Source organism: Homo sapiens, chromosome 2, assembly GCF_000001405.40.
Source record: "Homo sapiens chromosome 2, GRCh38.p14 Primary Assembly".
In the NCBI taxonomy this organism is placed as follows: domain Eukaryota; kingdom Metazoa; phylum Chordata; class Mammalia; order Primates; family Hominidae; genus Homo; species Homo sapiens.
This window is the reverse complement of record NC_000002.12, coordinates 40,716,117-40,733,455: the sequence shown is the minus strand read 5'-3', so window position 1 is coordinate 40,733,455 and position 17,339 is coordinate 40,716,117. Positions and strand designations below refer to the sequence as shown.

General features: G+C 34.8%; 2 long non-coding RNA genes across 7 annotated transcripts in view; one reads left to right on the top strand and one right to left on the bottom strand.

Moving 5' to 3' along the window:
• Positions 1-17,339, top strand: part of LOC105374497 (uncharacterized) — a 291,527-nt gene that overhangs the window by 236,812 nt on the left and 37,376 nt on the right. The window lies entirely within an intron of this gene.
• Positions 1,151-16,180, bottom strand: LOC105374491 (uncharacterized). 2 transcript variants are annotated; one of them, XR_939993.3, is made up of 3 exons: positions 16,036-16,180; positions 15,616-15,828; positions 1,151-1,258 (listed from the first exon to the last, which is right to left on the bottom strand). It is a non-coding gene; the product is annotated as an uncharacterized LOC105374491 (long non-coding RNA). The 2 variants fall into 2 exon arrangements; XR_939992.3 differs by lacking the exon at positions 1,151-1,258 and adding an exon at positions 14,002-14,088.

Sequence of the window (17,339 nt, the reverse complement as noted above, 5' to 3'; positions counted from 1 at the left end):
ATTATAAAAAAGAAAATGAAAACCTAAACACCCAGGATGCAAAGGATTAACTTTTTTGTTTTTTGGCACTTGTGTCAAAACCTCTAACTCACACCTTCTCCAGATAGTAATTACCATGTCAAAGAAAATGCATAAAACAGGCAGCAAAACAACAACATATCAATCAAAGGTGTTGATACAGACAGAGCACATAAACAACAAAAAAGAAAAGAAATAGAAAGTCATGGTTTCCAGGCATTGTACCTCAGACAATGCAGGACTGTAACTCTTGAAAGAAGAAAATCCATAGCACAGGGATAGAAGTATATGGCCGAACCTGGCAATGTCTCTGAGTTGAAGGGACCAACTGGGTGTCTAGGGAGATCAATGTGTGTAGAGTTTGCAAGACAGAATAACAGAGTCTGGAAATCTACCAGGAGTCTCCCTCTGATCTTCAACTGAGTACTGGTGAGCACATGCATATGATAAAAATACCTGAGGGCAAGGAAAGAAACAGAGGAAACAAAACAAACAAAGGAAACATTCCAGGGGTTGTATACAGGGCCAGCAATTGTTTATGTTCCTCCATCCACAGTAAAAATCCATGTAATTCAATTTAAGAATTACTCAGAATGAAACTTTCATAAAATCAACTGTTTTCCAAAACTTTCACTATGTTGCAGAACAAGGTCAAGAATATTTATAGGAAATATCAAACATGCAACAAGTTCACAATGTCTAATATCCAAGTGAGAATTGTCAGGTATGAGACAGCAAGAAAGTGCAACCATGATGAGTAGATGGTCAAAAAGATCCAAACCAAAGTTCCGAGTATGAAAAATAAAATGAGGTGACAACTATGCTAGTTTTTCAGCACTTTGGAAAACATTGACAATGCAATGCCCTCCAGATGATCCAATCATTCCATTTGTACTTACTCAACAGAAAACTTGCACTTAAATTGTCATAGAATATTGATTTTTAATACCCCCAAATTATAAATAACTCAAATGCCCATCAACAGATGAGTGAAAAAACAAATTATAGAATATCCATATGTGTCAGTCAGTTCAGGCTGCTATAACAAAATAGTTGGCTGGGAGGCTTAAACAACATACATTTAATTCTCACAGTTCTGGAGAATAGGAAGTCCAGAATCAAGGTGCCAGTAGATTTGGAGTCTGGTGACCGTCCTCTTCTTTTTTTGCTGATGGCCTTCTTTTCATTATGTCCTCACGTGGCCTCTCTTTGGTGTAAAAGAAAGAGCTCTTGTTTCTCCCTGTTTTAATGAGGGCATTAATACCATCATGAAAACCTCACCATCATTACCTAATTACCTCCCAAAAGCTTTAACATATAAGTTTGGTGATGGGGGACACAAACATTCAATCCATAGCAGCATACATATGGAAACATAGTATTCAACAATAAAAATAAATGTACTATTGATTATGCTGAATAAAAAAAAGCATTACCTGCCTCTGAAAAATTAAAAGAATATATTCTCTATAATCCCAATTATATAAAATTATTTCAAAAGCAGGGAAAACTGTAGCTGAAGAAAGCGTATCTGTGATTGCCTGAGGATGGCTAGGTGGGGGAGAGGCAAGAGGGAAAAATTATAAAGGAACATAGGAGAATTTTGGAATTTCTAGATATGTTTATTATCTTGATAGTGGTGATGGTTTTACATGTATTTATAGACACATACACATACATCAAATCTTACAGCTTATTTTTATTAAGGTTATGTTTTAAATTGAGATCAATATAGCTATAAAAACAATAAAAGACTTAAAGGACATGATATAAATATTTGAAAATAGACACATATAGTGCATATTTGGTGCTGGAAATTGTTCATAGAACATATAAGCATTGAGTATTGTGTTTGTAGTAGACAGTCAATACATATTACTCTACCATATGGTCTATGTAATATTTTTATTTGAAAATATGTGGCATAGAGCTCAAAGTTTATATCTAAATTACATCTCTAATCACAGTATCCCTCTGGACCTTTTTGGCTTAAACTCAAAAAAGTGAAACAAAAAAGGTTTTACTAAGCCCTGAACCCCAACAACAGTAACATTTAAACACACACACACACAGAAACACAGACACACACAGAAATACAGACACACATTATCTTTTTCAGTAAAATTAATAGCATTCCTATTTAAAGTTATGCATATGAGTTTCTAGAACTCTTTTTAGTGATACCTAGAAGTTTTTTAAATATAACTTATTAACTTATTAAACAGACTGGCACTTACTGGTGCTCAATAAATATATTTTTAATGAAACAATGAGCAGTTTTTTTATCATTTGCATGTTTTATAAGGGCCTGTCTATGAAGATAGCTTCCAATAATGTTTAAGTGATTTCATTATGAATTGGCAGCATTAAAATCACTGCTTTTTATAAAAAAAACAATTTCTTTGTATTCATATGTCCTAATTGATAATGTTAAATAACACTAATGAAATAATATTAGTAGTGTCTAATATTTAAATTTAAAAATAAAATAATTTTTGAAATATTTTTATAATGAAAATACTACATATTGTATCTTGTAAGTTACAGAGAAAGCAGTATTTAGCGGGAAATATATAGCCTTAAAGCTAATATTAAAAAGGTAGAAAATACTGAAGGGTGATTTAGCATATATTTACTTAAACACTTTGAAGAACAGTACAAAAAAATTAAAATAGAAATAAAAACATAAGGAATTTAAGAAAAAACCTTAGAAAAATATTAGAATACATTTACAAGGCCAAAATTTATTATTTGAAAAATTAATAAAATAGACAAGTTCTAATGACAGCAATCAAAGAGAATGAGAAGCAGCACAGTAAATATTAAGATATGAAAAGACTACATAACTACTAGTATACTAGTACCACTCCCCCCAAAAATAATAGAATACTTTGATGCTTTTTTTTTTTTTTTTTTTTTTTTTTTGAGACAGAGTCTTGCTTTGTTTCCCAGGCTGGAGTGCAGTGGCGCGATCTTGGCTCACTGCAAGCTCTGCCTCCCAGGTTCACACCATTCTCCTGCCTCAGCCTCCCTAGTAGCTGGGACTACAGGTGTCCGCCACCACGCCCAGCTCATTTTTGTATTTTTAGTAGAGACGGGGTTTCACTGTGTCAGCCGGGATGGTCTCGATCTCCAGACCTCATGATCCACCCACCTCGGCCTCCCAAAGTGCTGGGATTGATGCTTAGTTTTATGTGTCAACTTGGCTGGGCTATGGTGTCCACTTGTTTGGCCAAACACTAGTCTAGATGTTGCAGTGTAGATATTTTGTTGATGTGATTAACATCTACAGTCAAATGACTTCTAAGTAAAGAATGATGATGATGTGGGTGGGCCACATTCAATCAGTTGAAAGGCTTCAGAGCAAAAACCAAGGTTTCTCAGAAAAGAAAGTTTCCTTCATCAAGATTATATTCTAATAATATAATAATCTGTTATTTGAATAATAGAAATCCTGCCTGAATGTCTATCTGTTCGCTTGACCTATGGGTTTGGATTCAAGACTGTGACTCCAACTCCTGCCTGAGTTTCCAGCCACGTGGCCTTCCCTACAGATTTTGGACTTAACACTGTGATTGCATGAGGCTATTTCTTTAAATCTCTCTCTCTGAGGAACCCTAACTAGTACTAATATTACAATAATGTAATACCAATACATTTGAAATATGACAGCAAAATTGACTGAAAATGAAAATTTAAGCCTGCATACTTTTATGTTCATTAAAAAATTAATTTGATTGAAACCTTTACACAGAGAAATTACCAAGTTTATATAGTTCTATAGGTGAATTCTAATTTATCTCAAGAAGTTGATCATTAATTCTATGTTGTCCCTTCCAGACAATAGTAAAATAGGAAGCATTACTTGTCAGATTTTATGCTTTATTTAAAAACCAGACTATTATGCTCCAAGAAAAAAAAATTACACCCTAAAACATCACTCCCCCAAGAAATATATACAAAAGCTCCCAAAGAGTGTCTTAGCAAACTGAATTCAGCAATGGATAAAAAAGATGCATCGAGTTGTTTCTTTCCTAATAGATTCAAGAATGGCTAAACATTGTAAAATCTTACATTGTTATTCATTGAATTATCAGGTTAAGTAAGAAAAAATATAAATATTTCAATAGATTAGTAAAAAACTTTTAATAAAATTCAATGCCAACTTATGGTTTTAAATTAAAAAGGAAGGGAAGAAACATACTTTTCCTGAGAATGAGTAAATACCAACAATTGATAACACATATATAGGCCTACACTGTAGAGAATTCTCTTGCCCATGTAAACCAATACAAATCAAGAATAGCAAATGTCAATCAATTCTTTGTAATACATTCATATAGTGGAATACCTACATAGAAATGGAAATAGATAAATGAGGGTTGTATGTATCAATAGAGATGCATGTTAGAACATAGCATTGAATGAAGAAATAACAGAAGGTATTAAATTCTATTTTCATAAAACTCATCAAAGAGAAAAACTGGCATATGTATCTAAGAGAAAGACTTTCACAAACACACACACAAAGCAAGTTCCTAATAAATACAAATCAAATTAGTGTTTAGTTCTTCAGTAAGGACAGAGGGATATGGGTTAGGGAAGGAGCACATAGATATATGGGAAGAAATTGATAATGTTCTAGTCATTAAAGTCGATTGTGTATTGATTGTTCTATTATCAGGTTTCTTTATTACACACCTATCATATATGTAATGTGTATAATATATAATGTGTGTTTATATATCTGTATGTGTATATATGTGTGTATGTGTATTCTGTGAATCATGCTTGCATCACGTAGGCTAGATGGGGGCAAAGGAGCTATATCATCCCTGGAGTCAGTCCTATTTTATTGACTCTTTCACACACTCTTCCCAACTATTTCCCTATTTTCTTGCCTCATCCCCTTTACTTGACATTGTTGCTCAAATGTGTTTTAGTAACTCTTTCCTGATTGGAAGAGCAATACAACACATTTCTAAACAGCTGGCATAGTGGAAAAATTAAAGTGAAAATCACCCATAATTCTACCACATAGAGAAAATATCACTTATCTCATGTGTGCATGCACTATACATACACACAAACCCCAAAACAGGAATTTCTATATGTTCACCTTTGTCTACTGCCATAATGTATTATATAATAGGAAAATAAGTAGTAGTATATGTAACATTATGTATGATATAAGCAGTATAATATGCAACATTAAATATTAATGTGTAATATGTATGATATACTATTATACACTATTCTGTTATAATATTAATATAGAATATATCTTATATATTCTATAATATATTAATATTTACATGCTATAATAATATAGAAACTATATTCTATAATGTCATCACATAATTATATAATGTATACAGTTAAATAGTGCATATTTCTTATTTTACTATGTATTTTTTCAAGTCATTGTTTTTCATGACTGGAGCCTATAGGCAGAATTTTTGTTTTACTCTTCTACCAGGTCATCCTTTCTTTATCCAATGTCCAGTAGTTTTCTCTTGACTTGTATTTCCCAATTATTCCTTTCAATTTACAGGTACTTCTCAGGGCTTTTGAAATCTTTATGCAATAGCTAAAGTTTGTCATATACCTTATAATAATAATTAATATTATTTGTATTAAGATAAGTTAAAAAATACAATGCGTCCCTTTGATATTGGGGTATTTGAGATTCCTGTAAGGTCAGAGACTCAATTCTTATAAACATTTATTTTGTTAAATACAGCCTTGGGAACAAATCAACATCCAGTCAGCAAAATTATTGTTAGCCCTAGGTGTAATCAGAATAAAAATAAAATGTTTAAAAAGAAGCACAATGCATAAAGAAAGATGCTCTTTACTTTTCTGGCTCTTTGAGAGAGCAGTGTTGTCATATTTCCTTCCTGGTCCTAAGATATGATTGATACTCCTCTCTGCTCTACTCAGAGCACTCTGTCTGGAGGAAACACATGGGACAATAGCACCAATGGCTTCTGACTCCTACCTACAGTACCACTGCCTTTGTTATATTTGACCAGTCATTTTCTTTCTTTGCCTAGGATGGGAAGGTATGAGACTCAATAAAAAATACAACAAATTGATGAGTTTTAATAGAAAAGTGAAAAAATATATAATTTTAATTTATTGGAGCCTAGTCATTTTTCCAATATGGTGTCCCTTAGTCAATGTTTTTTTTTTAATCTATTTTAGCTCAACAGAATTGAAAAACTATGACTAACCTCACAATAGCAACAACAATAACAAAAATCTATTGATGCTCCCCATATTTTGAGAACTTTGAATAGGATATATTGTAAAGAAAGGTAAAGATCAAGAAATGTTTCACTGAAAAAAATACACTTATTTGGAATTTAAGTGTAACTTAGCCTGTATGGGCTATTGCAGTGACCTAGAATTTAAAAAAGACATCCAGTTGTAAGATAGTGTTCAAATCATTGTCAAGAATTGTTACCCAACATTAAGTTCATTTTCTCTGTGTTTGACTCTGCATCTGTAGCTCTCAGTAACATGAAAAGGTCATTTTATCTGCTTTCTATGGAAAATTGCTAAGGAAACCAAAAAACTTTGACTCTATCTGTGCCTTTATCTTTGATTTGATGAGAGTTTATATGGAAAATTAATAACAATTTTAAATAAAAATAATAACAAAGAGCAACAGTAGAAAAATACTTTTTAAAGAATTCATACCAAAATTTGTATTTGAAGCATTATGGACAAAATGCAGAAAGAGTTCCACCGTTGTCCTTTCTTGCTCCACGAAATTCTGAAAGTTTTGTTTGTAATTTATTTGGCCTAGGGATTAATGAAAGCAGCAGAGCTTTCTATTAATGCGGAAGCTTTTGGGTGCTTAGTGTGTATAAGCATCACCAGGGAAGCTTGATAAGCACACTCAGACCTACTTAAAAGATATGGGGTAAGACTCTGAGACATGCATTTTAACCAATGATATAGATGGCCAGTGACTACCCTTTTAAAACAGGGTCTTCAGTTGGTCACTCTTAGATTCTCCCTCTGAAACGGTTGTGCTATAAATTCTTTTAGGAAGTTGTATGTTGATTTTCAAACACTAAGACCCCAGCTACCTTAATACAGGTCTTTTTATACCTAGATATTGTGATTAGCTGGAGATTTCAGTTTCCAGTAGGAGCACCATGAAGGTGTAAATTGTGGGAAACCTGCCAACTGGTGAAACAAATAGAGTCTCTTGGGGTGATGGATTAAGTGCACCTGAATTCCAGCAAATTTTAAAGGGCAAACTAATTCCATTTCCTTATTTGTGTGGGTGTTTACAACAGCATGTTGAAAAACCAGTTCTATGTGATGTAATCATAAAAACAAATTAGTAATTATCTCCTACTGTTTCTTTAACACTGCTAATAGGAAAGTACAGATACAGGTTTTCCACAACCCAGGAAATCTCATGCCGTTTTTCGGCTACTCACAGGTAATAGGAAATTCTATATTCAATTAGAATTACTAAACATAATATAAATTCAGTAAATAGAATGTCCAGTACCATAAAATAATCAAAACTTTGAAGGTGAAGAGGTCAGCCTTTCCTCTTCTGCATCTGGGTCCTGCTGAGAGCTGGCTATTTGCAGTGAGAGGAGGCAATGCAGTAGTATTCACTTCTCTCAAATTCTACTTCTTCCCCCCTCCTGAAGCTGGCTAAAAGGAATTTCCACTCTGCTAGAATGGAAGAGAGAGAAGAAGGAGAGGCAGATAGGCATCTAAAAAATATTTTATATTACTGGTAAGATTGGAAAATGTCCATTATTCCTGGAGATAGGCAAATTTTTAAATTTTTAAAGCAGACTCTTTCTTAGGCAGCTTTGTTAGCTCTGTCCTGCTAGACTATCCTGCTATCCCTTATAACTGCACCTATATTGATAGGGAAAGCAATTTCTGTTTTCTTTTTCTTCTTTGAGCTCCAGGTTTTCCAAAGCCCATGCTTTCTCACTTTGTTTCACACCTTCTCTCTGTTGGTAGCTCTTCTCTCCCCTAGATAATTGTTTGAGCAAGATTTTAAATGACCCCAGGTAGACGTTGTTGCCACTAGACTGATCCCTGGATTTCATGCAGCTTTGCCCTACTGTCAGGGATTCAGGGAGTGTGGGTACTGCCAAGACACAGCTCTCAGATCTGTTGCCACAAGCTACGCTAGCCAACACTCTAGTATTTGACAGCCAGTAGAACTCTGCTTCTCAGTAAAAATGTTCAGTGGATCACCTAGTTACACAAACACCCACACACGTACAACTGCACTATTTACAGAAATAACTTAAGGGCACATAAATGTTTGGCATATGATTTATTTCCTATTTAAATATAAATAGACTCAACATGCTAATTTTGTGACAAAAGTGACTGCCCCAAAAAAATAAATAAAAGGCAGTCCCTTTTCATCTTTTCTATGTATTCTATGTATTACTCCTCTCAGAATTTAATGGAAAAATTTGCAGTATGTCTTAACACAACCTTTAAGAGAAATGTAACCTGGTTTCTCATTGCTACTTTTGCTTGCCTTCTTTCGAGAATTATTTATCTAATATGAATTATTTTTGAAATCATTTAGTACCTATTAAGTACAACGTGTCATCTGTGACATTAACATTTCCTTTATCTTTCATGGTTTTCATCCAGGATAGTATTATTTTTCTGTCTTTTTCTTTATAAGCTTTTGGAAAAATAAATATGAATTTAATATCTAAGAAAGTTTCAGTGTGACTTCCTTAAGTTATAAAGGAAGGAGATGTAAAATATCATGAAATACTATAGTTAAAAATTCGACTTTGTAAAACTCCTGAGAAAATGTAATTTTGATGACAACAAAGATAATCGTGATAATAACCATGATGACAATTATTGGAATAATAATGATGGTTAGACTAGACTAATAGAACCGTCTAATTCAGTGGTCCCCAACCTTTTTGGCACCAGGGACTGGTTTTGTGGAAGACAATTTTTCCACAGACCAGGAGTGGGGATGGTTTCAGGATGAAACTGTTTTACCTCAGATCATCAGGCTTTAGATTCTCATAAGGAACGTGCAATGTAGATCCCTCACATGTGCAGTTCACAACAGTGTTGGAACTCCTGTGAGAATCCAGTGCCGCCACTGATCTGACAGGAGGTGAAGCTCTCAGGCAGTAATTCTCGCTCACCTGCTGCTCACTTTCTGCTGTGGCACTGGGTTCCTAAGCGGCCACGGACTCATACCAGGGGTTGGGCACCCCTGCTCTAATTGATATTTTCATTAACATGACAGAAAAAATACCAGACAAAAAAGCAAGTGTGCGCATTTTAAAGTGTAGAAAATTGTTACAGAAACTTTGAAAGTGACCTTTATTTGTAATAGCAAATGGACTACCATTGTACTGTTTTTGCAAAATATCATTATACAAATGTAAATAAGTACCTTTGGTAGATAGAAAAGTAGTTGATGTGACAGATTCTGGTTGTCTAAAACCAAAGCACAGAAGGTAATATAATGGAAATAAACCTTGGTAATTGAGTTCAAGCTTGTTAGAGACCATTATTAAATCATTCCATAAAAAGCCAAGCGCATTCACATTTCTAATTGTTCTTTTAAAGTTGAATATGGAAAGAATGAATACAATGATTATGGACAGCACAATTGCTAATTATCTTTCAAAATACTATGTATAGTTGTAGTTAATTGATATTACAGCATTCATCCAGAATCCAATTCCTCAACTTTGACTCAAGGAAAACATTGGGAGGGGGAAGATATACAAAGAGAAAATACAAATTTTTTTCCAATTGTAGCATATTTTTCTGCTTAAAGTTTGCATAATATTCATTGTTTAAAAAAAAAAAAAAAAAGAAACCCTGGATGTTATTCAGAAAAATATGGGAGCCAAAATATCTTTGCTCAGTAATTTCTTTTGACAAAATTTTAAAAATAAACTTCATAAATGTAAAATAATATGAACAATTCAACTTGTACCAAAACATATAAAATGAGAATAAAGATTTCCTCTTCACATCTGACGTCATTACTCTCCCTAAAGTCATCTCAAGAAGCAAACACTAATAACATCTCTCTAGACATCTTTCTATGAATAATTACAAATTAAAGTATAATCAATAAATACATGAGTAGATGGGTAAATGGATAAATGAGTGTATAGGTAGGTAGATAAGTAGATATAAATATTGTTTCTAAAACTAAAAATATAATACATATAATTTCTTAAGATTTAGGACAAATCCAATTTTTTATCTCCTTGTATCTTCTCACAGTCACCCAACTTTAACCACTTGCTTAATTTAGAACTTCAGCTGAAGCTATTATTGCCTCATGTCCTGTTACACTAGCTGCCACAGCCTCCAGAATGGTGTTGAGAACCAGGGTTTATCTGGTCCTCCGTTATGCCTGAACAATCATTTATGTCCTGACTAGGCACATAGAAGTTCTATCTTCCCATTTAGCCAACAAGAAAGAATGTGGGGATGCCGCTGTCTCGTGACATTAGCGTGAAGGGCCCCAGTACACAAGGTCAGGTAAATGCCGCACCAATTCATTATAATGAAAGTGTTTCTTGAGGATCAGGCTCAAGCAAATGAAGAAGACAGAAGTAAATTACATAAACAGGTTGTCCAGACTCCCATGTCACCTACTTCTGTTATATCAACTCTTCTCCAGCTTACATCCAAGTGAGCCTCACTACAACCAATAGTCAAGGAAGGAAAGGACTGGAGCCCTACTTTGCAAATTGGTTGTCATGATATTGCAACATCTGCCACAACTCTGCTGCTGATTCATAACAGCCCAATTCAAAGATGGCCCCAAATGAAAGTATAAAGAGGAATCCTCCTCAGGGATGGAGGGGGATGCAAAGTTGTAAGCAGTATACTTGGTTGCCCACCTTGTATGGCAGAAGTGGCCCAAGGCGAAGGCATATTCTAAGTTCTGAAACTAGTAAGTGAATTGTGTCTTTAGGCAGAACCTGGTGCATGACTGAAAAATCAGAGACAAGGCAGTGTGAAGAAGAGGTATAATGCAGATGGATCTATGTGAGTGATCACTAAAAGTGCAGATGTTTTGGTCTCACACTAATGCACATTGGAGAAAATCCTCCACAGCCAAGTCTCTCAACAGTCAGTTGAACAAGATAACCCACCTTGTGGAATGTCTGCCAGACTTTCCTTTTGTTAATCTTGGTGGTTCTGAAGAGCCAGTGAGGAGAATAATTACGGTGGCAGGAATGGAGACAATGTATGGGTTCAATAACCTGGACTTTTTCTCAAGTCTGTTACAGTTACTGCCACTTCTGAATACCCAGCTCTGTCAGCAGCAAGCACAGGTGCTAAATCCTCCTTATGGCACAATTCAGGGAAACACAGTGGCTGAACTGTGTCAGTTACAGTAATGAGCCCCTTATACCTTGGAAGAGATGGTGGTTTACCCTTTCCAACAGGAATGTATACTCCCTATATTGGTGTGTCTTCTCTGTCTACCAGCTCATAGACCTATGTTGTTTGCTCAATGGAGAGTCTCTGCTGCCTCTTGCATTACTGTAGTTTCATCTTCTAACTTCACTGGTGGTGTCTGCCTTCCCCAGTGATTATGCCTGGCTTCAGCATAGCGTATGTCACACCCCTGAAGCATGAGTCACAACTATGCCAGTGTCCAGGTCTGAACCAGCTGAAACTTGGAGTCTTCAGATTCTAACAGAAAGAGGTTCATATAACCTGGATGTACAGGGAGATAAATGTCCCATGGGACAAACTTGACTAATGAGGGACAAGAGACAGGAAGGATCCAGCATATAATTTTCATACTTTTTCTTCCCTTGAACTATTTCAAGGCACAGTGTTCCAGTGACTTCTCAAGGATGTTCTGCACACTTATACAGTCAGTTTTATTTTCTTGAAGATTTGGGCTCAATATATTATATTTGTTTACTGTCTTTCCTTGCCTCACAGTTTTTCCTTCTTTCTTTCTTTCTTTCTTTCTTTTTCTTTCTTTCTTTCCTTCTCTCTCTCTCTTTCTTTCCTTCCTTCCTTCCTCCCTCCCTCTCTTCTTTCTTTCTTTCTTTCTTTCCTTCTTTTTCTTCTCCTCTCTCTCTCTCTTTCTTTCTTTCTTTTTTTTTACTTTTGGTGCCCTGAGTTTGCACTCCAAATACATTACTAATATGTAAACTTTGCCCCAGTATGTTTTCTAGGCACCTAGGCTAAGGCAATCTAATTATTTTATTTAATCTTATTTGTATTTGAGAAAAGAAACTAGACTGAAACTTAATTACCGAACTACTAATTGTCCATGACATACCTATTATTGGCTAACTGATCTATAGAAAAAAGAAAAATATATGCGTGTGTGTGTGTCTACTTATATGTGAACAAAATATCCAGAACTTATGTTTTTATAACAGAATGTTTCAGTTTTAAACATTATTGATCATGCCACCTCAATAAAATATAGTGAAAATTTACATTATGTCATGACTTTCCGTATCCCTTCCTTCACCTCATAATTATTAATAATTATTTTATCATTTTTAAATCGTTGAAGATTATATCATCTACTTTATAATTCCCCCAGATGTTACACTTACATATTTAAATGCTTTTAATGCTTCCCACTAAGACTTGCCAGTATTCCTTTTCCCTGAGACCCTAACTAAGCTCCCTTGACCTAATTAAGTTCCCTTAATTATTCTCCTTAACTGCATCAACAGTTTTATGAAGGCTTTGTTTTCTTCTTTACTGGTGCATTGCCTCATTTTGCAGAAGTATATCCTGAAATAGCTTTTTAGAAAAGGGTCTTGGAAAGATAAACTTTTTGGGTCTTTGTCTGAAAATGCCTTCTATCTAAAGTTATACTATGTAGTTTTCTATGCAGTTTAAGGATATAATTGTAGGTTGAGAATTAATCCCCTCAGAATGTTGAAAACACTGCTGTGCACCTTCTGAAACTTTGAGTATTGATTAAAAAATCTGTTACCAGTCTGATTTGCAGTCCTTTGTATGTGACCTGCTTTACTTTTCTTGAAAAATTCCCTTTAATTTTTGTTTTCTGAAATGCCATGAGGGTACATCTAGATACATGTTTTTGGTTCATTTATTCATGACTTCTCTCCATTTAAAAAGGATTATTACTTTGTTCCTCAGTTCTGGAAAATGTTACTGTATTTTTGTGAAATTATTGTTTTCTGTTTTTTTAATTCTCTCTGAAATCTTTATTAGTTAGATTTTGATCTCCACATTTTCTCCATATTTTCTTTTTTTTCTACTTTCTGGATCTTTCTTTAACTTTATCTCATGGCATTCCTATTAAAAAAACATATTCAGTTTATTTTGCCAGAATCAAATTTTATTTCACGTGGGGTCCTTTTTTGTTTTGTTTTTATTTGTTTGACATGCTTTTCATCACATGCTGGTCTTGAAATGATGAATGTCATCTGAAATCTCTATCAGAATGCTTAAAATGTCTTCCATATTATGTTCTATTAACAATCATAGTTTTTGTCAAAGAATAATTTTATGTTTAATTATTTGGTCTCTCATTTTTATGTTGCAATTTTTTCTTAAACATATGGTGCAATTGGTTATGCAATTTTATTTAAGAAAGAAGCAATGAAAAGCTATTGAAAGTTCTCTGTGTGTGAATAGGGATTATCTATTTGTGAAAGTTTAATGGAAGATAATTAGGCAGAAGACCAGCAGTTCTGTTAAGATGATCTCAGTATCTCAACAATGACCACTCAATTGTTGTGATCCTCCGTCATAAGTTGAGAGATGGAACATTTAATCCTTCTTCCCCCTCCTTCCAGCTCATCTCATGCGTTCCATTAATCATGTAGGATGTTTTTAGATCCTCTCTGAGTCTTTCCAGAGTTCTGAAAAGCAGAGCTGCAGTTCCTTTGTCAAGAGAATCTTACTATAAGAGTATTTTATATTGAAGCTTCTTCCTTTTTTGCTAAACCCATTATCACTCCTTCTTATGTTCCAATGATTTGTAGTAATCATCTTCTGATGTCCTCTCTGATGTGTTTATCTCGTTTGTATTTGTTCTCTAGTATTCTAATAGAGTATCAGAAGTGAAAATGATAAGTAAGTATGGAAGCCCCACTTAATAGACTTAATAGTTAAAAGTAAATTGCACATGATGAAATCAACTAGAGATACATGATTATTTAATGTTAACTTGTAGTTCAGATATTTCAATAACAAAATCTCTTTAAAGAGAAAAAGTATATTTCCATTTCTTGCCACCATTTTTTTCAAAAAAGACAGTCCCCAATTTGTTCTAATCCCACATTATTATTAATTTTTACCATCAAAATTGATATATTATCACAATTAATTGATTAGCTGGGAAGTACTCACAGTGAGACCATTATTTATAATGTTTCCTGTCATGAGGATTCAAAGATACATGGAATAATAAATGTTAAAGCGAAAATTGCACCAATACCAAGTTAAACAAGTAAAAAAGACCTTTAAGGCTATTGAAATAAGGGAGAGAGGTCAGAACTTAGTCTGAGCCCAACTCCCTGAAACAAAGGATGGGAGTTTTAAAGAGCTGGGCTGGGAGAAATCAAAGGCCATCTGGGTTTGCTGGCTGGCCTTGACCAAAGGAAAAGTGAAGTTTCTCCTATCTTTATGCCAGAAGATAGTGTTACAATTTGGAGAAAGGCGCCTAGAAGTTAGGCTGCTACCCTCACACAGAAAGATAGGGATACTATCTTTCTTGATGAATACATTTCAAAGGGATGGCTTGCAAGTCTTTGAGAAAGACATTCCTGGGTTGAAAATGTGTCAAAAAGCTTTAAAAGAGATATCTCAAAGGGGGCAGAGAAACAATCTACAATTAAAAGCTTTCTAAAGTAAATGGTCTAAAAAAAGATGATCAAGGCCTAGAGTTAGAAGAAAGCCTGTCTAAAGTTTAGTCCAGCTGAGAGGTAAGTTAAGATCTTCTTCGTCATAAAGCTGTAAGAAATTGTAGAGAATATTCTATACCCCTTTATTTGCAGGTAAGGGGACTGAGGCCTGGACAAGTTAAATAGTTTTCACAGGAAAGCATGTGTAGTTGTTGGTAGGACCAAGGCCAAGTTACTTCCTCAAACTGTAGAATGCATTGTAATACTAGTCACAACACCCAGACTGTGGGATGCAGTAAATGGGATAGGTCTGTTCCACTAAATAAACTAACAACTTCTCATTTCCTTTATATTTATTAGCTATTAAGACCATGTGTGTATAACTTGCCCACCTTTTCTTATAGAATGCTTTTACCTTTCTCTAATTTAATCACATTATGTCCTGATATTTGTACAACTCTGTCACGAAGAAACAAACTTCAACTATAATGTACTGTGTGTGTGTGCTGTGTTCCAGTACTGTTTGAGACTCCGTTAATACAAACTACTAAGACCTAAGTACTGAGTTTTGCTCTTAATCCCAGAGTGTTAACGTTTAAGAGAGAAAACTATTTGGTCTGTTCATTGCAGTATAGTTTAAAAGCACTGTCTTGAAAGATCAGAAGGAGAACACCTAACTCTTAGCTCAGCTAGATATCAGCCCCAATAACTTGATAAAATCACTTACCTTCTCAGTTTTCTTATTCGTAGCCTGAAAGACCATTAATATTTCTTTGAACTCTGAAATTCTGATTCCATAAGATGTAATTATTTCACATCCATTGAAGTGTAAAAAGTATAGACAGTTTTGTGCCCCTCTTAGGCACTGGTTAGTATTGTTCCACTTTTTCAAGCATGCAATTTTTTTCAAATGCTATTTCTTCCTGTCATCTACGTTATTCTGAGGGAACAGGAGAGAGAACAGTTTATACTTTGATTCAGATAGCACTGGCCCTCCATAAGAGAGTACACGTTGCCTGAGAAGAAGACAAGCACCATTGGGTTTTTTAATTTAATAGCCATTGTATTAGTCAGGGTTCTCCAGAGGGACAGAACTAATAGGATCTATGTATATATGAAAGGGAGCTTATAAGGAGAATTGACTTACACCATCACAAGGTAAAGTTCCATGATAGGCTGTCTGCTAGTTGAGGACCAAGGAAGCCAGTGGCAGATCAGTCTGAGTCCCAAAACCTCAAAAGTAGGGAAACTGACAGTGCAGCCTTCAGTCTGTGGCCAAAGGCCCGAGGGTCCCTGGCAAACCACTGGTGTAAGTCCAAGAGTCCAAAAGCTGAAGAGCTTGGAGTCTGATGTTCAAGGCAAAAAGCATTCAATACAGGAGAAAGGCTGGAAGACTCAGAAAGTCTGCTTAGTCATCTTCTTCTGTCTGCCTTTTCTAGCTCAGCTGGCAGCCCAGGGGATGGTGCTCATCCAGATTGAGGGTGGGTCTACCTCTCCCAGTTCACTGACTCATATGTTAACCTCCTTTGGCAACACCCCCACAGACACACCCAGGATGAATACTTTGCATCCTTCAATCCGGTCAAGTAGACACTCAATATTAACCGTCACAGCCATGACTTACATAGACTAGAGTAGTGATTGCTATGTAGAAAAAAATGAAGAAACACTGGTGGCCAAAGTGAAATCCAGAATAACTGGAGTGTTTTATAACAGGACATTATTTTTTCAGAAAGTATTAAAACAATCCAGCAGATGCCAAATACTATTGCTCAGTCCCTACTTATGAATATTTATGAATGTACATAAGTTTAATAAAAGAACTAAATGTGTATATACATGTGTACACAATTTAAAAAAAAACCTTTAATTTTTTTTAAATCTAAAATACTGGTGTAATTTTAGGAATTATATTGGAAATAGCACTTATATACTCTCAATTTAACAGGAGTATAATTTATATCTCAAGCCTGTATGTCTCCTCTAAACCTCAGACTTTGTAACCAAGTGCTTTCTTGATATTTCTAATCAAGGTGATAAATGCTAATAATATCTCAAATTTAATATGTCCAAAACTAAACCCCTACTATTCCATTCCATATGTGCTCCTCTCTCAGTCTTCTTTATCTCAGTCATGAAAAGCTTTTTCTTCCAATTTCTCATGCTAAAAACCTGCACTTATCTTGACTTATCTCTGCTTTTCACACCGTGTCTAACTCATCAGCAATTCCTGTAAGCTTTTCTTCCAAATACACCTACATCCTGACTACCTCTTAATGTTTCCATGATGATCAACTCTTTTCAAGACACCATCACCTCTTGCTTGGATTATTGCAGTAGCCTCAGAAATGGCCTCTGCTTCTGCCATTACCTCCCCGCCCTTATAGTCTACTCTTCACACAGATGCAGAGTAACCTGCTGAAAGATAATCCAGATGATCTTCTTCTTCCA